The 24,176-nt window shown below is 42.7% G+C and overlaps 1 protein-coding gene across 25 annotated transcripts in view, besides 4 other annotated features; it reads left to right on the forward strand.

The window, feature by feature from the left end:
- Positions 4,555-4,604: an enhancer, noted in NCBI's record as "active region_26063". NCBI's record gives its function as "activates an Ori minimal core promoter by ATAC-STARR-seq in GM12878 lymphoblastoid cells {active_cell/tissue: GM12878}" and the evidence as "EXISTENCE:reporter gene assay evidence [ECO:0000049][PMID:35858748]".
- Positions 4,829-24,176, forward strand: part of ZNF138 (zinc finger protein 138) — a 66,396-nt gene continuing 47,048 nt past the window's right edge. For 16 of the 25 annotated variants that reach the window (NR_160269.1, NR_160268.1, NR_073389.2 and 13 more), the window contains exon 1: positions 4,829-4,972. Coding sequence is in view for 13 of the 25 variants with exons in the window: in NM_001271637.2 (NP_001258566.1) it covers positions 4,970-4,972 (3 nt within the window). In the remaining 12 variants the exon portion in view is untranslated. Of the gene's footprint in view, positions 4,973-6,110; positions 6,170-9,591; positions 9,800-20,863; positions 22,299-24,176 lie in introns of those variants that run through there. The other 9 variants (NR_160271.1, NM_001367572.1, NM_001367574.1 and 6 more) reach the window with 6 other exon arrangements.
- Positions 4,845-5,084: an enhancer, noted in NCBI's record as "active region_26064". NCBI's record gives its function as "activates an Ori minimal core promoter by ATAC-STARR-seq in GM12878 lymphoblastoid cells {active_cell/tissue: GM12878}" and the evidence as "EXISTENCE:reporter gene assay evidence [ECO:0000049][PMID:35858748]".
- Positions 4,845-5,429: a biological region, named in NCBI's record as "H3K27ac hESC enhancer GRCh37_chr7:64254846-64255406".
- Positions 4,869-5,429: an enhancer, noted in NCBI's record as "H3K27ac hESC enhancer chr7:64254846-64255406 (GRCh37/hg19 assembly coordinates)". NCBI's record gives its function as "activates a minimal SCP1, AML or CMV promoter by ChIP-STARR-seq in naive H9 embryonic stem cells {active_cell/tissue: H9 hESC(naive)}" and the evidence as "EXISTENCE:reporter gene assay evidence [ECO:0000049][PMID:30033119]".

Below are 24,176 nucleotides of genomic sequence, written 5' to 3' on the forward strand. Positions count from 1 at the left end.
CCGACGCTCCCGGCCAGATAAAAAACTCTTCCGTCTTTAATCCAGTGTCTGAGGAGTTTTGTCTGCGGCTCATCCTGCTACATAGCTACTCGGGAGGTTGAGGCAGGGGAATCGCTTGAACCAGGGGGGCAAAGATTGCAGTGAGCTGAGATTGTTCCACTTCACTCCAGCCTGGGCAAAAGAGCGAGACTCTGCCTCAGACAAACAAACAAACAAAAAAAGATTTAAAAAATCAACACAAGATGGATCAAAGACTTAAGTCTAAGTCCTGAAATTATAAAAATTTTAGCAGATAATATAGAAAAAACTCCTCTACACATTGGCTTAGTCAAAAAGTTTGTGACCAAGTACCCAAAACCAAATGCGACAAAAAAAGATAAATAAATGTGACTTAATTACACGGAAAAGTTTCTGCACAGCAAAAGAGATAATTCAAGCAGTAAACAGATAACCCACAGAGTGAGAAGAAAGGTTCACAAACCATGCTTCCAACAAAGGACTTATATTCAGAATCTGCAAGAAACTCAGGCCGGGTGTGGTGGCTCAGGCCTGTAATCCCAGCACTTTGGGAGGCCAAGGCGGGCGGATCACCTGAGGTCAGGAGTTCAAGACCAGCCTGTTCAACATGGTGAAACCCTGTCTCTACTAAAAATACAAAAGTTAGCTGGGTGTAGTGGCAGGTGCCTCTAATCCCAGCTACTCAGTAGGCTGAAGCAGGAGAATCACTTGAACCCGGGAGGCGGAGGTTGCAGTGACCCAAGATCGCGCCATTGCACTCCAGCCTGGGCGACGAAGCAAGACTCTGTCTCAAAACAAACAAACAAAAAAACAAAATAATGGCACTCAGAGCAACCTGGATAAAGTTGGAGATCATTATTCTAAGTAAAGTAACCCAGAAATGGAAAACCAAGCATGGCATGTTGTCACTTTTTAGTGAGAGCTAAACTATGAGGATATAAAGGCATAAGAATTATGTCACATAATGGACTCTAGAAACTTGGGGGAAAGGGCGGTGTGGGGTTGAGGGATAAAAGACTACACATTGGGTACAGCGTATACTGCTCTGTAGATGGGTGCACCAAAATCTCACACACCACTGCTAAAGAACTTATTCATGTAACCAAACACCACCTGTACCCCCAAAACTATTGAAATAGTAATGATAAAAACAAGAAACACAGAAAACTCCATAAGTTTAAGTTTATATGCTTTGGCATTTTATTTTTTTTAGAAAGGGTCTCCCTCTGTCACCCAGAATGAAGTACAGTGGCTTGATCACGGCTCACTGCAGCCTCGACCTTTTGGGCTCAGGCAATTCGCCTTCCTCAGCCTCCTAAATAGCTGGTACTACAAGTGCGGGCCACCATACCCAGCTAATGTTTGTATTATTTGTAAACATAGGGTTTTGCCATGTTGCCCAGGCTGGACTTGTATTCCTAGGCTTAAACAGTCTTTGTTTCTTGGCTTTTTAAAGTGCTGGGATTAGGTTGGGCACAGTGGCTCGTGCTTGTAATCCCAGCATTTTGGGAGGATGAGACGGTTGGATCACTTGAGGTCAGGCATTTGAAACCAGCCTGGCCAACATGGTGAAACCCCGTCTCTACTAATTATCTAATTCTCTAGAGAATTTTGCAGCCAACTTTATATATGAACAAACTTATGCCTTGATAGGTACAAGATGAAGGGTCAATGTGGGTGAGAAATTCTAATGGGACATTTGTTGCCTCATAATATCAGAAACACAGAATATAGGTCCACTGCTCTTAACCTACTTCAGAAGTTAAAAAGAACTCATTCACAATAAGTTTCAGAGCATTGCCTGGCCATTACTCTTCTAAATAAGCATCATTTGTTAGGTCTTTTTTTTTTTTTTTTTTTCATGGTTCAGGGTAAAAAAATCAGGCATTGGTTAGACATTTATCCTTCATAATAGTCTCTATAGCAGATTCTACTGCAAAGGCTATGGTTACACAATAGACTTTTTTTACTAAAGTTGTGCTAAATAATGGAATTTCTTGAGATTACTTATTGCATAAACAGAAAAGTATCTGTGTAGTTGCTAATATGCATAGTTGCACATGGAGAAATATATTATAGAGATTATACAGAAATATATTACACGTATTACAGAGATTCAGTTACGGGGGTTTAAGAAACAGGCTGCTTGGTTGAAATGAGGAGACCATTTATTTAGCTGATAACTTGGTCTATCTCTCAAAATTGAGAAGATAACCAAAAAGGAGAAATTGTTAAATTATAGCCTGAAGCTCTCTGTTTTCATGTTTAATTTTGGTCAGTAGGTTTTTTGTTTGTTTGTTTTTCTTTTTTTTTTTTTTTTGGTACATACTAAACTGAAACCTAACTGGATATGTAAGTAGATTATAACCCATTCCTGTACCAGCCACTGTGATTTTGCCAATAAAAGGACATCAACTCTTCAAACCATGTTCAAATAAGGCAAATCCCAAGCTGTAATCAATTTGGCTGTTTCTGTACCTCAATTTCATTTTCTGTATGCCACTTTGCTTTTTCTGTTGATCAATTTTTTTACCATGTTGCTGTGCTGGAGTCTCTCTGAGCCTATTCTGGGCCCACAGGCTGCCTGATTTGCAAATCATTCTTTGTTCATTTAGACTCTGTTACATTCAATTTCTCTGAAGGTTTTGTTTTTTTTTTTAGATGTTTACAGATTTTATCTATGATAAAAAATAAGTAATGTGTTGCTGGGCTTTGATTTTCTCAACTCATCCCTCATCTATCTTTTTCCACATATGCTATGTCCTTTTGAAATGCTCCTGCAACTTTTTTCTTTTCTGTTTCTTTTCTTTTCTTTTTTTTTTTTTGGAGAAAGGATCACACTCTCACCACCCAGGCTGAAGTGCAGTGTCGTAACCAATCATGGCTCACTGCAGCCTCGACCTTCCAGGCTCAAGTAATCCTCTTGCCTCTGCCACCTGAGTAGCTGGGACTACAGGATTGCCTCATGCTGGCTAATTTTTATTTTTATTTATTTTTATTTTTTATTTTTTTTGAGACGGAGTCTCGCTCTGTCACCCAGGCTGGAGTGCAGTGGTGGGATCTTGGCTCACTGCAAGCCCCATCTCGTGGGTTCATGCCATTCTCCTGCCTCAGCCTCCCGAGCAGCTGGGACTGTATTTTTAGTAGAGACGGGGTTTCACCGTGTTAGCCAGGATGGTCTCGATCTCCTGACCTCGTGATCTGCCCTCCTCGGCCTCCCAAAGTGCTGGGATTACAGGCATGAGCCACCGCGCCCGGCCATGACTGGCTAATTAAAAAAAAAAAAATTTTCATGCACATAGGATCTTAACTATGTTATTCAGGCTGCACTTGAACTCCTGAGCGCAAGTGATTCTCCCATCTCAGCTTGCCAAAGTGCTAGGATTATAGATGTGAGCTACCGTGTGCTTCTTCAATTTCTTAAGATTATTTCTAGCAATAATAATAAACAGTGCTATATGGGCACAAATCTAAAAGAAATCTGGCTTCTATTTTAGAAGTGTCACTCTCCAGGATTTCAAGGGTCAAATGGAGTTAATTCTGAGTCCCAGCCCAGCCACTTAATAGCTGTGGGTCTTTGCACAAATTTTTTTTTTTTTGATGTGGAAGAGTTATATAAACCACATATGCAAAAAAAGGCAGAATGATACTGATTGCAAAAATGTTAGCAATTTTTCATCCCTCCGCTATCCATGCCCATTGCCAGGTGCATTTACAGCTGTTTCCATTGAGATCCAGTTCTGTTTTCCAAACCCTAGATCTGGCTGGCCTTATTTGCTCAGGGCAGTAAAAACCTGTGAACAGTGCAGTGTGCTAGTTTGAGGCGTAGGCTCAAATGGTTTTGCATGCTTCTGTTTTTCTTTCAGAAGGCTACTATCTCCGCGAAAAAAGCCCATGTTAGCCAGATGGAAGATAAAATAGTATGGGGAGGAGAAGCAAGTTGCCTCTGTTGACAGCCTCAGAAGCAGAAGCTCACCCCCAGAAGCACAGCTGCCTAGTCAACAAGCAGCTGATGATACATGTCTGAAGGAACTCAGCTGAGGTCACAAGAATGGTCTCACTGAGCCCAGCCTAAATGACTAACCATCTCAATTAGAGTGAATTCCACCTGTTTATTCTTAAAGTTTGACTACTAGAAAATTTGGAATTCACATGTGCTCTGTAATCCCAGCACTTTGGGAGGCCGAGGCAGGTGGATCACCTGAGGTCAGGAGTTCGAGATCAGCCTGACCAACATGGCAAAATTCTGTCTCTATTAAATATACAAAAAGTAGCCGGGCGTGGAGGCGGGTGCCTGTAATCCCAATTACTCAGGAGGCTAAGGCAGGAGAATCACTTGAGCCCGAGATGCGGAGTTTGGGGTGAGCCGAAATCGTGCCACTGTGCTTGAGCCTGGGTGAGAGTGAGACTCTGTCTCAAAAAAAAAAAAGAAAAAAATCTCAGGCTGCCTGCTCAAAGGACCAGAAGCCAGTACGGTTATAAAATCTGGAATTTAAAAATAATTGTTATATTCAGATGTGAATAGCTATATGTTATTTATAAATGCATACGACCTTATACACAAGGTTAAATGCAAATGCCCTCTGGGGTGGGCCTGACTCAGCTCAGGGAGGAAGCCCTTCTGGAAAAGGCTGCTGCTTAGGTTTAACTCTGTCTTCCTTCAGCCCAGCACCTGAGCACATCTGTCACTCAGGGCCTGAGGGGGCGGGTTGTTAAACGTTATCCAATCAGGGACGCCGGGCTGGGAACGGTCCAATCAGGCACCCAGCTGGAGCGGACATGACGTCTTCCGGGAGGCGGCGGGGTCTTTGTCTCGCTGCAGCGGGTGCTGCAGGTCTGGCCTTCACTTTTCTGCGTCCTCTTACTCCTAGAGGCCCAGCCTCTGTGGCGCTGTGATCTGGTTATTGGGAGATTCACAGCTAAGACGCCAGGATCCCCCGGAAGCCTAGAAATGGTGAGAGTGCTGGGTCCGACATCCCGAGAGAGGGGGAGGGAGCTGGTTGGAACCGGTCGGAAGTGGCTGTGGCAGTACTCGGGTCTTCCCGCAGTCGGCTGCAAAATCCGCGGCCCCGAGTTCTTGGCACAGCTCGGCCCTCAGTCCCCTTAAGCCATAGCATGGCAGCTGGGCTGACAGCCGGAACCAGGCGTCCTGTCTCCTCCCTGCGCAGTGACTGTGCCCTGGCCTGGAGCCCTCTCTGAGCAGCTCTGCACCCGCAGCGATTGTGCAGAGACGACGGGAGGGTCGTCAGGGGAGAATCCTGACTCGGGGTGCTGGGTTCATGAATGGGAAGAGGTTTCCTCCGCGGGCTTCCCTGTCCCTCTTTTCCCCTATTAAAATTTATGAAAGTCACCGCAAAAAAATTAATTTAATCAAACAGTGATTCAAGAATTGTGGAGCACCCAGCTGTGGTTTGCAGTAGTGGTCCGTGGGAGGGGTTTGAAGGAAACACTTGTATAAGGTGTATGATAAAACCAAATTCAGTAATTGGTTAGTAGAGTTATGTAGTTTCTTAATTTGTACAATGAAGGAGGAAATTTCCTGGTCATGTAATCAGAGGTTAATTGGCAGTTTACAGTTGGTTAAACATGAATTTTATTTTTCACAAGGTAGTAATTTACAAAAAAATGCATTTGAGTTAGATTTTTTTAAAACCAGAAACCCTGGGACTGGAGCGACCTCAGTCTAATTGCCTGCCACTTAATTATTTTCACACTCCACAGGGGACAGATCTTCCCCTTCATTTTTCACATGTGTCCCAAGCAGGGTCTCAAGACTCCTCCCCCTCCCCATTTCCCATTCCTTCAGCCTAACTCTGGCTTGCAGTAAAATACTAAATTTCCAGTTCCTTCTGACATTCCCAAATGCCAACTTCCCCTTCCTAATTCACATTATCAACTATTTGTCCTTTAGTGTACATTTGAAATACTGTATTTTAATTAATCATTTTTTGACAAAGCATGGATGGCATTTTAAAAAAGATTTGTTATCTGTTTGTAAATATTTCCCATGAGAAGAAACCAAAGACTCATCCCCTGATGCTGTATTGTAAAAAATCTCTGTGCCTTTTTTTTTTTTTTTAAATCTTCCCTAGGTACAGAGATCTTATCAGAATATTTTTGGGTCAAGGTTTCCCTTTGGAAACTTTATAAGGTAATGTGTCCTTAGTCACTCTTCAGTTTTTTCCTTGGTCCTGGGTTTCAGTACTTTCTGAGGATAAATCAAAATATCCACTGTGGCTGTGTATGCTAGAATCTCTGGTAAATTTCAGCTCCTGGCCTGGAATGAACTCTGGTTATCTGGGAATGGGAGACAGAGGACAACCTGAGGTTGGAGTGTAGCCTCTCAAGGGAGCAGGTGAATGCCCTGGGGCTGAGAGGAATCTCCTGGTGTACTCTTCCTTTGAAAAGCAAACCCTTTGAGAAGTTAAGATTGTCTTCAAACCAACCCAGTGTCCATTTCCGGAGACATATTGCTGGTCAATCAATCATATGCTGGTATTGAGGGGAGAACACAGAAATAATTTCGGCCCACTGGATTCTCTAAGATTTGTGAAAGAAATGATAGTATCCAAAAAGACAAATCAAACCTTACCCCAGTGAGATGGTTCAAGAACTTGCAAAGTGAAATGTACTTGGGGCAGTCACTGAGGCATAGTGCAGCGTCTTCAGAGAGGGTGGTCTTCAGAGAGGGTGGTCGTTTAGCACTTAAGTGAGCAGGATGGGGTGGGAGAATCTCTCAAGTGATTGGGTGGCTTGACTTGACATGTGAGTGAGATACATCTGTTTTTTAATCAGCACTGCCACTCCCTGGGATTGTCACCCTGAAAAGATTTGTTCACTTACTTCAGTGTTTTAATTGTAACTTGCAGTTTATTAGTAGGACTAAAAGGTAAGAGGATAATTAGAATGGGCATGAAAGAGATGGGTTTTGGAAAAAAATATCTAATCATATATTCTATTTGTTAAGTATTCTCATTTACCTTTTTCTTTCCCAGACTGAGTTTAGGAATTTTCTCAGGTCTGTTTTTTTATGGCTGGGTGATGTCCAAGAGTATTCCAAGGCTTAGCTTTTAGAATGCTACCAAGGAAAAGAATAGGGAAAATACTTCTTCCATTTTGGCTGTGGAAAACGAATACATTTCCGGCGGGGTGCGGTGGCTCATGCCTGAAATCCCAGCACTGTGGGAGGCCAAGGCAGGGAGATCACCTGAGGTCAGGAGTTCTAGACCAGCCTGGCCAACATGGTGAAACCCCATCTCTACTAAAAATACAAAAATTAGAAATTAGCCATGAATGGTGATAGGCACCTGTAATCCCAGCTATTCGGGAGGCTGAGGTGGGAGAATCATTTGAACCCCATAGGCAGAGGTTGCAGTGAGCTGAGATCGTGCGGCTGCACTCCACCTTGGGCGACAGAGCGAGACTCCATCTCAAGAAAAAAGAAAGAAAGAAAATGAATACATTTCCACAAGAAGATGTGGTAGATAATTGGTGAGTTATACAGATTCATGAAAATATCAGTTCCTCCTTTTTCAGGGTACATTTCAGTGAATACCTCTCTTCTGTATCCAGTCATCTTGATTTCTGAGGTTAATGCTAAATTTTTTAAGATGAAACTTGGTCTATCCTAGAAGTGTTCCCATATGACTAATTGTTTACTACATCATTTTTAATGGATATAATAAAATAATTATTTATCGTTTTAAAAGATTACATACTTTTGCATTTGAGATATGTGACGTAAGTGCTTTAAAATTTCCTTCCCTTATATAAACACTGTGTTTGAGTAATTTTGCTGAATTTTTCAGTTTAAAAAACCATTTGAACAACTCCGACATGGAAATTAAAGCTTGCGCCAGTGACTGCAAGCTAAGGCTAATATTGAGCCTACAAAGGGAAGGGAGGTTATTAAAGGCCCAGTTAGTTCTTTCTAGGAAGCCTCCCCTGCGGATGTCGGAGCCTGCTCACCCCAGCCATGGAAGAACCTTTATACTGAGAGAAGCTACAGAGCCCTGGAAAACTGGAGACCCACAGGCAGATGCAGTAAACATTAAGATGGAAGGGGATTGGGAGGGTCATACTCAGGATGAAGTTGTTATTGTTTTGAGGCAGTTTCTAGACTTTGTAAAATAAAACAAAATTAGGTTTATTTTTTAAAAAATTCTAAAATACTGCAACAGAAGGAAGTACCAACTATATAATCTTTAAGGATTGCAAAGTTTAGGCAGATAAAGGCTTTCTTAGGGAGGAGCAAAAAAGATTAGAAGGTGAGAGGGGAATGGCAAATGGAGGGTGTATAAATCAGATTTTATTTTTTATTTTTTAATTAAATTATTTTTTTGAGACAGAGTCTTACTTTGTTGCCCAGGCTGGAGTGCAGTGGCTGGATATCACCTCACTGCAACCTCTGCCTCCTGGGTTCAAGTGACTGTCATGCCACAGCCTCCTGAGAAGCTGGGATTACAGCCGCCCACCACCATGCCGGGCTAATTTTTGTATTTTTACTAGAAATGGGGTTTTGCCATATTGGCCAGGGTGGTCTCAAACTCCTGACCTCAGGTGATCTGCTCTTCTCAGCCTCTCAAAGTGCTGGGATTACAGGCGTGAGCCACCACGCTCAGCCCAAATCAGATTTTAGATTAGAAAATGTTTTACCCTGAAGTCAGCAAGTTTTTAGGAGAAACATAAAATGGGGTTGTATGTTGGCTCAGACTGAGTAGCTCAAAGTTCAGGAGCTGTGGGAAGGAGATAAACTTAACTATATTTTGATTAAGAAGTATTTTATTTGACCGCTGAAGAAAAATTCGGCTATTTTTTTAAATACAAAAAAGAAAATCTTATACATAGTGCTAGCTAGTTATTCCAGTACCATTTTATTAAATAGGGAATTCTGGCCGGGCATGGTGGCTTACGCCTGTAATCCCAGCTCTTTGGGAGGCCAAGGCGGGTGGATCACCTGAGGTCGGGAGTTTGAGACCAGCCTGACCAACATGGAGAAACCCTACAAAAAAAATAGTCGGACATGGTGGCCCATGCCTGTAATCCCAGCTACTCAGGAGGCTGAGACAGGAGAAACGCTTGAACCTGGAGGCGGAGGTTGTGGTGAGCCGAGATTGAGCCATTGCACTCCAGCCTGGGCAACAAGAGTGAAACTCCGACTCAAAAAAAAAAAAAAAAGGAAATTCTTCCTACATTGATCTTGTCAGCTTTTTTGATGATCAGATGGTCAGATGGTTGTAGATGTGTGGCATTATTTCTTGGCTCTATTCTGTTGCATTGTTCTATGAGCCTTTTTTTTTTTTTTTTAATCACTACCATGCTGCTTTGGTTACAGCCTTATAGAATAGTTTCAAGTTGGATAATGTAATGCCCAGCTTTGTTCTTTTTGCTTAGAATTGCCTTGGCTATTCAGGCTCTTTGTTGGTTTCATATGAATTTTAAAATAGTTTTTTTAGTTCTGTTAAGAATGTTTTTGGTAGCTTGATAAGAATGACATTAGATCTGTAAATTTCTTAGGGCAGTATGGCCATTTTAATGATATTGATCTTTTCTTTTCTTTTTTTTTTGAGATAGAGTTTTGCTCTTGTTGCCCAGGCTGGAGTGCAATGGCACGATCTCGGCTCACCGCAACCTCTGCCTCTGGATTCAAGTGATTTCTCCTGCCGCAGCCTCCTGAGTAGCTGGGATTACAGACATGCGCCACCACGCCCAGCTGATTTTATATTTTTAGTAAAGACGGGGTTTCTCCATGTTCAGGCTGGTCTTGAATTCCCAACCTCAGGTGATCTGCCCGCCTCTGCCTCCCAAAGTGCTGGGATTACAGGCTGAGTCATGCCACCCAGCTGATGTTGATCTTTTCTATCCATGAGCATAAAGTAATTTTCAATATATTTGTGTCATATCTGACTTATTTAAGCAGTGTTTTGTAATTCTTGTAGAGATCTTTCACTTGCCTGATCAGCTGTATTCCTGGATGTTTTATTATTTTTGTGGCAATTGTGAATGGGATTGTGTTTTTATTTTTGTTTGTTTATTTGTTTTTTGAGATGGAGTTTCGCTCTTGTTGCCCAGGCTGGAGTGCAATGGTGCAATCTTGGCTCACTGCAACCTCGACCTCCCGGGTTCAAACGATTCTCCTGCCTTAGCCTGCCAAGTAGCTGGGATTACAGGCCTGTGCCACCACGCCTGGCTAATTTTTTGTTTAGGAGAGACGGGGTTTCACCATGTTAGTCAGGCTGGTCTTGAACTCCTGACCTCAGGTGTTAGGCGATCCACCCACCTCGGCCTCCCAAAGTGCTGGGATTTCAGGTGTGAGCCACCAGGCCCAGCCTGGGATTATGTTTTTGATTTGGCTTTTGGCTTGGATGCTGCTGATGTACAGGGATCCTACTAATTTTTGTACATTTATTTTGTATTCTGAAATTTTGCTTCACTTCTTCAGTTTAAAGAACGTTTCTGTGGAGACAGAAAAGAGAAGAACTTTTCTGTGGGTTCTCTAGATATAGAATTATGTTGTCTGTGAACAGGGATAGTTTGACTTTTTCTCTTCTATTGAATACCTTTTATTTTAGTCTCTTGCCTGATTAACTGTGGTGTGGACTACCAATTCTGTGTTGAATAGGAGTGGTGAGAGAAGGCATCCTTGTCTTGTGCCAGTTTTCATGGAGAAATGCTTCCAGTTTGTCCATTCAGTACGTTGGTTGTGGGTTTGTCTTGGATAACTTGTTATTTTGAAATATGTACCTTCAATGCCTAGTTTGTTGAAGGTTTTTAACATGAAAGATGTTAAAATTTTTTTGAAAGCTCCTGCATCTATTAAGATAATCTTGCAGTTTTTATCTTTATTTTTGTTAATGTAACGAATCACATTTATTAATTTGTGTATGTTGAACCAACCTCATATCCCAGAGAAAAAGCCTACTTGATCATAACTGATTAACTTTTTGGTGTGCTGCTGAATTTAATTTGCCAGTATTTTATTGAAGATTTTTGCATATCAATGGTCCTCAAGGATATTTGCATAAAGTTTTCTTTTTATATCTGTGTCAGGTTTTGGTGTCTGAATGATGCTGTTCTTACCTAATGAGTTGAAGGAGGGAGTGTCTTCTCAATTTTTTGGAATAGTTTTAGAAAGAATGGTACCAGCTCTTTTTTTTATACATCTTGTAGAATTTAGCTGTGGATGTCTCTGGTCCTGGGCTTTTTTTGGTTGCTAGGCTATTTATTACTAATTCAGTTCTGTAGTTTGTTATTGTTCTATTCAGAGATTCAATTTCTTTTTTGTTCAGTCCTGGGAGGATGTATTTTTCAGGAATGTACTATTTCTTTTAGATTTTCTAGTTTGTGTGCATGGAAGTGTTCATAGTAGACTTCAATAGTTATTTGTATTTTTCTGGGGTCAGTGGTAATGTCCCTTTTGTCATTTCTAATTGTATTTATTTGAATCTTCATTAATCTTGCTAGTGGGTTATTTAGCTTATTAATTTTTTTAATAGATTTAACTCCTGGATTTCTTGATCTGTTGCATAGTTTTTTATGTCTAAATCTCCTTCAGTACAGCTCTTGTTATTTTTTGCCTTCTGCTAGCTTAGGGGTTTGTTTCCCCTTGCTTCTCTCCTTATTTTATTCATAATGTTAGGTTGTTAAATTGAGATCTTTTTAACTTTTTTATGGGGGCATTTAGTGCTATAAATTTTTCTGTTAGCACTGCATTAGCTGTGTTGCAGAGATTCTGATATGCTGTACTTTGTTCTCATTTGTTTCAAAGAGCTTTTTGATTTTGCCTTAATATTATTATATACCCAAAAGTTATTCAGGTACAGGTTGTTTAATTTCCATGTACTTGTATGGTTTCAAGTGGTTTTCCTTGTATTGAATTATATTTTAATCAATCTGTGGTCTGAGTATGTGGTTGGTATAATTTTGGGATGTTTGAAATTGCTGAGGATTGTTTTATTTTGGATTGCGTGGTCAATTTTAGAGTATGTGCCACATGGTGCTGAGAAGAATATATATTATGTTGTTTTTAGATGGAGAGTTCTGTAGATTTCTAGTAGGGCTATTTGGTTAAGTATTGAGTTTAGTTCTTTTTTAATTTGCTGCCTCAATAATGTGTCTAATAGTGTCTGTGGGGTGTTGTAGTCTCCCACTATTGTATCAGAATCTAAGTCTCTTCATAAATCTCTAAGAACTTGCCTTATTCATGTGCACCTGTGAAAGGAAATTAAATCTTGGGACCCAAAACTCATTAAGCCAAACAGAAAAGTTAAGCTGGGAACGGGGTCACACAAACCTGCCTTCCTCTTTTGGCTCTGTTGACGAAGAGTCAAACTCTGTAAAATATTTTAAGAGATTTATTCTGAGCCAAATATGAGTGACCATGGCCTGTGACACAGCCCTCGGGAGGTCCTGTGATCAGGCCAAGGTGGTCGGGTTACAGCTTGGTTTTATATATTTTAGGGAGACATGAGACATCAATGAAATACATTTAAGAAATACATGGATTTGTCCGAAAGGCAGAACAACTCAAAGTGGCGGCTTCCGGGCTATAGGCAAATTTACACATTTTCCGGTTGACAGTTGGTTGAGTATATCTGAAGACCTCGGATCAATAGAAAGAAAATGTTCAGGTTAAGATAAAGGATTGTGGAGACCAAGTTTTATTGTGGAGAGGAATCTCAGATAGCAGACTTCAGAGACAGCAGGTTGTAAAAATGTTTCTTCTTACTGGACTTAAAAAGGTGCCTGGCTCTTAGTTGATTGATTATCTCCTGGATCTGGAATGTAAGGAAGGAAAACAAAAGAGGAAAGGGGATTGTCTATAGAATGTACATTTTTCCCACAAGAGACTTTTGCAGGGCAATTTCAAGGCATGGCAAGAAAATATATTTTGGTGTTAAATATTTTGATTTTTTTTTTCTTGTCTCATAATGTTACGCCAGAGTCAGATTGGAAAGTAAGTCACGATCTATAGGGTCAAATAAAACCCATCTGATGAGAATTTATGGTTTGTAGGGCATGACCCCTTACAAACAATTAGATAGAAATTTGGGCAAGATAAAAAATTCAGAGCTTAGTCCTCAGTTCCTAAATAAGATGGCTACAAGAAGAAAAGCTACATACCTCCCCCATCTTTTGCCCACAAGAAAATTTCTAGTGAGCCGCAAGATCTTTACCCTAAGGTGTTTCTGTTAAAATGTAAACTGATAGCTTATCTTTACAGATACAGTCACCCCCCTGCCCAACAGACACAAATGCATATCTGATTGTTCCCCTGCCTCGTTTTGTCTTGTCTTATGTTAAAAAAAAAAAATGCAGATTCACTGAGCCAGACAATGGCATGAGTGACTATTTTTCCCTACCCCCCTCTTACATAACAATTGTGTACTTCTCAATATCTCACTGTAGGAGAAAATATAAATTAGAAATAAGAGGGTTTATTCTCCTGCATGAAAATAAGGGAGGATATTTTGTTAATTTATTTTTCTTTAAAGCACTTAAATTATATGTAGATTTTTTTCTTTGTTGTTTGAAAGATATGTAAATCATATTAACAGCTAAATCTTTTGTCATTGTTTTTGACTCAGGATTGTCTTTATCTAGGACCTCAGATTCATTGCTTTGTTTTTGCTTTGGCAAAGGTTTTTTTTTTTTTTTTTTCATTTAATCTGTATCTTTTAAGGTAGACACAGATTTGTTTAGATTAAAGCTCATTTTAAGAGCACACAAAAGTTGAGCACAAAGATAGGATTACATTTAGCAATACAGAATGATGAAGACTAAAAGATACCAAGTAAGCTCCTTTGACAGAAAACAGATTATCCAAGGTAATTATTTAATATTTGCAGGCTGAAGTACTTACATTGCAAAAGCGAGGTTCAGTGTATGAACTGAACAGTGGAGTCTGTGGTTGTGCTTTGGTTTCTGCTTATTACTTCAGAACAATTAGCATAGTTATGTGTAGTGTTTGTAGACAAACTGCATTCATATAAATTAAGCAGTATTTTATACAGTAGTGTGAATATAACACCACAATATTTGCTTTGAATGAATCCCTTAGTAATTTCAATATTTTTATATTCATACATTTGGAATATAAAGTGTTTTAATTGGATTATGGTTACAGACAATTTTTAAAAATCCTATGTACATTATAAATAGTACATTAAAATTATACTAAGTGTATCTAATCAAAAAAGTTACTATCAAATTATTACAGTAGATATTAGTATAACATGGTTACTAATTTATCCAATAGAGATAATTATAGGTAAGCATAACTTCAGTGTCTTTCGTTTCACTAAATTGGAATGCTGCTGTTACAGGAAAAATAAACAAGGGTGATGTGGCCACCCAAAAACCGTAATAGCTCTTCACTTACCCATGATGCAAGCTCAAATATATTCCACTATATTAACAAAGTCATATTCCAATTCTTCATTAAAAAGTTCTGGTGGGGATAAGGGAGGAGACCACCCCTCATACTGTCTCATGCCCAATTTCTGCCTCCAAAGAAAGAAGTAAAAACTAAAAGGCAGAAATGAAATCCACAGGCAGACAGCCCGGCGCCACACCGTGGGCCTGGTAGTTAAAGATTGACCCCTGACCTAATTGGCTATGTTATCTATAGATCACAGACATTGTATAGAAAAGCACTGTGAAAATCCCTGTCCTGTTCTGTTCCGTTCTAATTACCGGTGCATGCAGCCCCCAGTCATGTACCCCCTGCTTGCTCAATTGATCACAGCCTTCTCATGTGGACCCCCTTGGAGTTGTGAGCCCTTAAAAGGGACAGGAATTGCTTACTCGGGGAGCTCAGTTGTTTGGAGTTGTGAGTCTTGCTGAAGCTCCCGGCTGAATAAAGCCCTTCCTTCTTTAACTCAGTGTCTGAGGGGTTTTTGTCTGCAGCTTGTCCTGCTACAGGGAGAGGCGGAGGTGGGTGGATCATTGCAGTCAGGAGTTCAAGACCAGCCTGGCCAACATGGTGAAACCCCATCTCTACTAAAAATATAAAATAAGCCAGGTGTGGTGGCACATGCCTGTAATCCCAGCTACTCCAGAGGCTGAGGCACAAGAATCACATGAACTCAGGAGGCAGAGGCTTTAGTGAGCTGAGATCGTGCCACTGCACTCCAGCCTGGGTGACAGAGTGAGACTCTGTCTCAAAAGAAAATGTTCTGGTGAAAACTGTCAGAGGCATTCCATTATAGATCCTCTCATTTAATGGCTAGGAGATGAGAGCGGCAGAGATGGAAGAGAAACCTATTAAATTCTGCTGAGAATCTGCTCCCTTTCTTCATAACACCCGTGTTTCTCATGTCGAGAGTAGCGGTGCACTTTGGGTGTTTAAAAAAAATTCTTTGAGACCCTATTTCTATCCCATGGTGTCTGTGAATGAGGTGGGCTGTCACAGGAGAACTCTTGGAGCTATCCCTATCTGGACTCATGCTGAAAATCCAGCAGTATTTTTTCCATGTCACCACTATAAATAGAAACTGATGGCCGGGCGCAGTGGCTCACACCTATAATCCCAGCACTTTGGGAGGCCGAGGTGGGTGGATCACGAGGTCAGGGGTTCAAGACCAGCCTGACCAACATGGTGAAACCCCGTCTCCACCAAAAATACAAAAAAATTAGCTGGGCGTGGTGGCAGGTGCCTGTAATCTCAGCTACTCAGGAGGCTGAGCCAGGAGAATTGCTTGAACCCGGAAGGTGGAGGTTGCAGTGAGCTGAGATTGCGCCACTGCACTCCAGCCTGGGCGACAGAGCAAGACTCTGTCTCAAAAAAACAAAACAAAAAAAAAAACTGAGGCTGAAACAGTGCTCCTATTTCCATTACTGTGAAGGTGCAATTCTACCTAGGAGTCCTGCAGGCTCCTCCTGCAGTTCAGGCCTCACTCCGATGTGGCACTGGAGTGCTGCTGTGGCAATTGGGATTCATGTAAGATGTAATCTGCCAGCTGTGAGCCCTGTGCTGTGGGCTGTGTCTCAAGGGAAGATGGTAAAAGTCAAGAGAGGACACCAGCCACTAGGAGAGGGCAAGCAGGAGTGCTGTAGCCCAGTGCTCAGGGCGTAGCATAGCCATAAAGTAAATAGCCATAAAGATAGCACCCTCTTCAACCATTTCTATAGGAGAGTGAGAGCCTACCTTCAGCAGGCACCTGGCTTCAAGTTGCAAAATTACCTCTTGTCATGAAGATGTGAAAAGTTTATTTTGTCGTTGGTTATAACCAATTAACACACATGGATGGCCTCCCCAATTACCAGGTGAATTTAGGATGAACTACATATGACATGGTGTTGTAAATTCTACTTGTGGATTAATTATGGTGACCATCTTTCTGTCTTTGCAATCTCTTAAACAGATTGAGTGTGATGCATGTCACATTTGGTTGAATTGTGTAATAAAACAGCTTTCTTTCTGTTCTGTCATTGTGGAGTTATTCTGGTGCTGGAGAACTCTTTTCTTTTAATTATATTTTCCAATCACTGTAGAATAACCACATATAATATAAACATACAGGGTGCCAACCAAGCTTTAATCTAGAGGGGCCTTTCTCAGGCTTCCAGTCAACTCACGGTTGTGCTGCAAAGTGCATGCTGTCCCCTAAATATGCAGGCAGAATTGTGTCTCTGCCTATTTTGTATCTATAGTACTCTATAGTTAACATTTAGAGAGGCTAGACCTGATTTCTAAATACTTCATAGGACAGCAATCAACCATTTTACCTCTTTCAATGACTCTTTAGACCAGAAACTGATTCAGAGACCATGGGGCCCAGAAACCCAATCAGAGTAGCATGTGCACTGAGTAGACATGCAGGCATGAGAATCTCCCCTTTCCCTTTCCTCCTCCTCTTACAATGCCCACAATGTACAGATGACACCTGCTGCTACTCCACCCATCCAGTACCTAAATTTGCAGCTCCAAACTCTGAATCTAGGTATTGAGATTTGGGGAAAACAAACAAACATTTATTTGAGAAATGCAAATTCTTTTAGTTACAAGGCTCAAAGAGACATTAAAATGAGACCACAATTATGTCTTTATCCCTTCTTTGAGCTGTGTATTTATTTCTTGAAACTGCTTGCTATTTCTACAAGTAGCTAAAAATTAAACTAATAATGACACACTGGACACTATAACCCATGCCCTATAGCTTAACAATGTATATCCAATTAGTAATGTTATTTTTTGTAAATAAGAATTTCTGGCAACCTTTTATCAGCCCACTCTGTTGTTGGGAACAGGCTCCCCAAAATCTGGCCATAAACTGGCCCCAAAAACTGGCCATAAGCAAAATCTCTGCAGCACTGTGACATGTTCATGATGGCCATAAAACCCACACTGGAAGGTTGTGGGTTTACCGGAATAAGGGCAAGGCACACCTGGCCCACCCAGGGTGGAAAACCACTTAAAGGTGTTCTTAAACCACAAACAATAGCATGAGCGATCTGTGACTTAAGGACATGCTCCTGCTGCAGATAACAAGCCAAACCCATCCTTAATCTGATATCTATAGAAACAATGCTAATGACTGGCTTGCTGTTAATGAATACGTGGGTAAATCTCTGTTCAGGGCTCTCAGCTCTGAAGGCTGTGAGACCCCTGATTTCCCACTTCATGCCTCTATATTTCTGTGCATGTGTCTTTAATTCCTCTAGTGCCCCTGGGTTAGGGTCTCCACAACCTAGCTGGTCTGGGCACTCTGTCCCTCTTTTTGCCTTTACAAATCCACTTATAACTGCTGCTAATCAAAGCGCAGATTTCAGGCAACTTGAATCTTTGCTTCCAGGTTACAATTCTCAAACTTGCTCCAAATGAACTGTCTACTTATATTCATGTTGCCTCAGCTCTTTCATTTTAGGTAGACGTATCACTTAGAATGTGCTAGAGCAGGCTGTATGAGGGGATCTCTCCTTTGGTTGTACTTTGCCTCCTGTAACAGTCAAGAATGCAGAGCCAGGTTGATTCAATCTAGAATCTACACAGAAGGTGTAAATCTCTGCCTGAGATTTACAAAGCAGGGCCAGACTTTGGATTCAGAATGTACAGAAAACCAACAGGAGGCATTTTCTGCGTTGTGAGATGTCAACATAGACATCTTAAAGCCCCGCTTTGGGAGTGTGGCTCTTTGAGCTTTTCAGATCTTGTTCAGTGATCTGCTACAGTAATGTAAGATGCTCTTGTGTAAATAGAATCTGATGGCAGAATCTGTAAGTGTAAACAAGCATCTTAGGAGTGACAGATCAAGGTCACAAGGTATCCACAGCCATGACCACAACTGTACCTACCCATAAAATGTGATACTGGAGTAGAGTATTCTTGTCTTTCATTTTACGCAAGAGCTAGCCAATCAAGACAGGTGATCCAGGTTCTGGAGCTCCGCTAGGGCAGTTTCATTTTTTATTTAGAATCAGCCTGTCCCACTCCTGCTTGGCTTATCCTTAAGCAATCAGCCTAGGGTCACTGGGAATCCTCTCACAATCACCTAGGCATCTCTGAGACATTTGAGGATGTCCAGGGATGAACTGTGTCAGGCTGACAAGAGTGGTTAATTCTGCGTCTGTCTCAGTGTAAGAGAAATGAGTCATCCTGTGTTTGTTCCTCCCCTCATACAAGAGATGTCTTTGGTTGGTACCCAGATGAGAGTTTCTTCAGTTTCCTGGTACTTGGATGAAAAACAAGGAGGTGGTCTGGAGACCCAAAGGGATAAACTAATTGCTTGCATTTCCTATGGCCATTAGAAAAATAGATGAAGCAGTCATGATCCCTACCATCCAGGAACTGTTAGTCTTGACTAGCAACTGAATACATGGTTGAATTAAGCATCATATGGTTGGCATAATAAATAGATGTGGGCAAAAAAAGTGTACTTTATTTGGGCCACTTTATATTTTTGTAACTTACGAGGTCATTTCTATGGATATTTATGGACACAACAGTTGCTATTAGTATTTCTGTTTCTTTTTTTTTTAAATTTATTTATTTTTTATTGATAATTCTTGGGTGTTTCTCACAGAGGGGGATTTGGCAGGGTCATAGGACAATAGTGGAGGGAAGGTCAGCAGATAAACAAGTGAACAAAGGTCTCTGGTTTTCCTAGGCAGAGGACCCTGCGGCCTTCCGCAGTGTTTGTGTCCCTGGGTACTTGAGATTAGGGAGTGGTGATGACTCTTAGCTGCCTTCAAGCATCTGTTTAACAAAGCACATCTTGCACCGCCCTTAATCCATTTAACCCTGAGTGGACACAGCACATGTTTCAGAGAGCACAGGGTTGGGGGTAAGGTCACAGATCAACAGGATCCCAAGGCAGAAGAATTTTTCTTAGTACAGAACAAAATGAAAAGTCTCCCATGTCTACTTCTTTCTACACAGACACGGCAACCATCCGATTTCTCAATCTTTTCCCCACCTTTCCCGCCTTTCTATTCCACAAAGCCGCCATTGTCATCCTGGCCCGTTCTCAATGAGCTGTTGGGCACACCTCCCAGACGGGGTGGTGGCCGGGCAGAGGGGCTCCTCACTTCCCAGTAGGGGCGGCCGGGCAGAGGCGCCCCTCACCTCCCGGGTGGGGCAGCTGGCCGGGCGGGGGGCTGACCCCCCCACCTCCCTCCCGGGTGGGGCGGCTGGCCGGGTGGGGGGCTGACCCCCCCACCTCCCTCCCGGACGGGGCGGCTGGAGGGGCGGGGGGCTGACCCCCCCCCACCTCCCTCCCGGACGGGGCGGCTGGCCTGGCAGAGGGGCTCCTCACTTCCCAGTAGGGGCAGCCGGTTAGAGGCGCCCCTCACCTCCCGGACGGGGCAGCTGGGCCGGGTTGGGGGCTAACCCCCTGAACCTCCCTCCCGGATGGGGCGGCTGGCCGGGCGGGGGGCTGACCCCCCCCACCTCCCTCCCAGGATGGGGCGGCTGGCCGGGCAGGGGGCTGACCCCCCCCACCTCCCTCCCAGATGGGGCGGCTGGCCTGGCGGGGGGCTGACCCCCCCCACACCTCCCTCCCAGACGGGGTGGCTGCCGGGCGGAGACGCTCCTCACTTCCCAGATGGGGCTGCTGCCGGGCGGAGGGGCTCCTCACTTCTCAGACGGGGCGGTTGCCGGGCAGAGGGTCTCCTCACTTCTCAGACGGGGCGGCCGGGCAGAGATGCTCCTCACCTCCCAGACGGGGTCGCGGCCGGGCAGAGGTGCTCCTCACATCCCAGACGGGGCGGCGGGGCAGAGGCGCTCCCCACATCTCAGACGATAGGCGGCCGGGCAGAGACGCTCCTCACTTCCTAGATGTGATGGCAGCCAGGAAGAGGTGCTCCTCACTTCCTAGGTGGGATGGCGGCCGGGCGGAGACGCTCCTCACTTTCCAGACTGGGCAGCCAGGCAGAGGGGCTCCTCACATCCCAGATGATGGGCGGCCAGGCAGAGATGCTCCTCACTTCCCAGACAGGGTGGCGGCCGGGCAGAGGCTGCAATCTCGGCACTTTGGGAGGCCAAGGCAGGCGGCTGGGAGGTGGAGGTTGTAGCGAGCCCAGATCACGCCACTGCACTCCAGCCTGGGCACCATTGAGCACTGAGTGAACGAGACTCCGTCTGCAATCCCGGCACCTTGGGAGGCCGAGGCTGGTGGATCACTTGCGGTTAGGGGCTGGAGACTGGCCTGGCCGACACAGCGAAACCCCGTCTCCACCAAAACCAGTCAGGCGTGGTGGCGCGAGCCTGCAATCGCAGGCACTCGGCAGGCTGAGTCAGGAAAATCAGGCAGAGAGGTTGCAGTGAGCCGAGATGGCAGCAGTACAGTCCAGCTTCGGCTCAGCATGAGAGGGAGACCGTGGGGAGAGGGAGAGGGAGAGGGGGAGGGGGAGAGGGAGAGCGTATTTCTGTTTCTTATGCCTTGCTAAGAATACTTATTTGGCTTCCAATAAAATTACTCTAGAAAACCCTAAGAGATTTGTTTAAATTGCTTATTAGTATATGTTATAAAATTGACAGGGCAGTGACTAAAAAAGATTAGAAGTTCACAAACTGTGGGATTTAATTTTCTTTTGGGTAAGCTTAGCAAAAACAATAGGAAATACCCCAGTGGCATAGAGAGCAGAATTCTACATAGGGTACACTCCCTGCCCCAGCCTTGTTCAAATTTACTGTTTTTGGAGGCCTTATTTAGGTCTGGCCCCACCCTGGAGTCTTGCCTCACAGAACTGATTAGAAGAGATGAGAGTACTGGGTGGTGAATCCTGCAGCCTTTCTAGAGCCAGTGCTCACGGTATTCTGAAACCTAAAAGCAGATAAATGGAAAAAATAAAGTATGTATTTTAGGGTCTTAATTTTTAGTTTTTTTATTAAAACCAGTGCTTGCAGAGACATTCCATTTACCAACCTGTTTTCTATTCTTGGAGATGTTGTTGCTCTGCAAGTCAGAAAAAAGTAAATATAAACACAATAAAAATTTCTCTAAGCTGCATTAAAGTTTTTCTTTCTGTATCCCTCTCCTCTGTCTATATTTAGCTTTAATTCTATACATTTTTTAAAAAAATCAGTGACAGAGAAACAAAAGAAATAAAAATGCTGGGCCCTTTTTCTAAATCCAGGGAATTATTAAACACTTAATACCAGCTCCCAAGGTGCTATGAGGATTAAATCATGTAATGTGTTATTCCCAGCAAAGTGCTCTGTAACAGTCCCTTCAGCACATAGTACCTGCTTAATAATCATTGCATTAGTACATGTGAAAATGTTATTTTTCTTTTCTTTTTTCTTGAGACAGAGTGTTGCTGTTGTCGTCTAGGCTGGAGTGCAATGGTGGGATCTCGACTTACTGCAACCTCTTCCTCCTAAGTTCAAGTGATTCTCCTACCTCGGCCTCCTGAGTAGCTGGGATTACAGGCACCCGCCACCATGCCCAACTAATTTTTGTATTTTTATTAGAGACAGGGTTTCACCATGTTGGCCAGGTTGGTCTTGAACTCCTGACCTCAGGTGATCCACCTGTTTTGGACCCCCAAAGTGCCCGGCCTGTTTTTCAAATGCAGATTTATTCAGACATAGCTGCCTTCTGTTTGTTCTGTAAACTTAAAAGAGCCAGCAAAAAATATGAAAATTGATTATCTTCATTTGTCCTAGAAGTATTTGTATTTTGACAAGAGTGCTGAGTGTAAGGAACTCTGCTGTGTCTGCTTTCTCTAACTAATGCTAATAATGAGCCCAAGGGGAGCAACATCAGCTTTGACAGGAGACTTGTTTAAAACTCCCATTCATGAACCCTTTCCAAACCTGCAGTATCACATTACATAGGGTGAGTCCAAAATCACCAAGTGATGTATAAACTCATTAAAGCTTGAGAGGTAATGCTTAGCTAAATGGTTATTAGCCCAGACTTCTAATTAGGATTACATGGCCAATTTGCAGTAATCTTTTTACTTATACCCTTTCCACATGTTCTGTTTATTATTCTGGGTGGAAGCATTCATGTTGTTTTAATTAAGTTCCTCCTGTGACTCTCAGGTGAGGACAGAATCAAGTAAGAGGGGTTCAAGATACACTCATGAGAGTTAAGTGGGTTTTTTTTTTTTTTGAGACCCAGTCTTGCTCTGTCTGCCAGGCTAGAATGCAGTGGCATGATCTTGGCTCAATTCAGCCTTCACCTCCTGGGTTCAAGTGATTCTCCTGCTTCAGCCTTTTGAGTACCTGGGACTACAGGTATTCACCACACGCCCGGCTAATTTTTTTTTTGCATTTTTCTAGAGAAGGTTTCGCCATGTTGGCCAGGATGGTCTTGAAATCCTGGCCTCAAGTAATCCAGCAGCCTCTGCCTCCCAAAGTGTTGGGATTACAGGTGTGATCCACTGTGCCCAGCCTGAGAGTTAAGTTTTACCTTTTCACTAAAGGGTGGTCACAGGACTGGTTCTATTTGGATTTGATGGGGACAGAGCAGTGTGGCCCATATTTCCATTACTGTAGTAGAAATTGCAGAGAAGAGCACCTGAGGACAGGAAAGGAGAAACTTGTATTATTATTTCCATAGAGCAGCTTATTGTTCTGAGTCTCTTCTGTTATAAAGGAAAGAAATGAGTGAACTTTTTCTGTAGGTCTTGGTTCTTTGGCCAAGTGTGACTGTGGTGGTAGCAGGTAAACAGGTGGTGCTGACACCTTTAAAGGCATAAACTGAAGATGCAGGTGTAATTTGTCCAGAGAATCTCATCTGAGAAGGAATACCAGAGAAGAAGGAGAAAGGGGAAAAAAATTGCCTTTTTTTTTTTTTTTTTTAGCTTAACATGTCTCAAATCGAGAACTGTGTCCACTCTTCCTCCTGGAATGCCATGCGTTTAGTACCTGTAAACCTTTACTTCTCTAATTGTGTTGTTTCTCCCTAATAGGTTTGTTTTAACTACTTTTAAAAATTCTTATGATAGTCAAGGGTCTCTGAAAAAAAATGTTTTTTCCTGCATACCAGAGCCTTCCCTACATTCTCTACATCATGCTGTCTTACAGGCCATATAGAATTCTCATGAATTTATAACCTGCAACATTAAAAATGTTCCATTTGTGGAAAGATGTGAATACTCAAGGTTTCTGTTGGGGGAAAGCTGGGGTCCTTAGTAAAGAAGGAGAACATGTAATCTTGAAGTTTCATCTGTGTTCTCCATTGGTTCTATGCAGAACAGGATTAATAAAATGCTGTTTTAAACAGAATGGCACTCGTTACCCAGAAAGTTCTGAAAAAAATTATTAAGAGATCCCTGCTCTTTGGGGTGCTAAAGAAAGACTACTTAAAATCACTATTAGAAATTACAGAACATGAATTACCTGTATCTTAAAGTTTGCATAAAAATGATTTTTTTTTTTTTTTTTAATGGAGTCTCGCGCTGTCGCCCAGGCTGGAGTGCAGTGGCGGGATCTCCGCTCACTGCAAGCTCTGCCTCCCGGGTTGACGCCATTCTCCTGCCTCAGCCTCCCCAGTAGCTGGGACTACAGGTGCCCGCCACCACGCCCGGCTAATTTTTTTGTATTTTTAGTAGAGACGGGGTTTCACTGTGTTAGCCAGGATGGTGTCGATCTCCTGACCTCGTGATCCGCCTGCCTCGGCCTCCCAAAGTGCTGGGATTACAGGCGTGAGTCACCCCGCCTGGCCAAATGATTTTTTTTTATGGTTACATTCAGACTACAATTTACT

The sequence above is a fragment of the Homo sapiens genome, chromosome 7, assembly GCF_000001405.40.
Source record: "Homo sapiens chromosome 7, GRCh38.p14 Primary Assembly".
In the NCBI taxonomy this organism is placed as follows: Eukaryota; Metazoa; Chordata; class Mammalia; order Primates; family Hominidae; genus Homo; species Homo sapiens.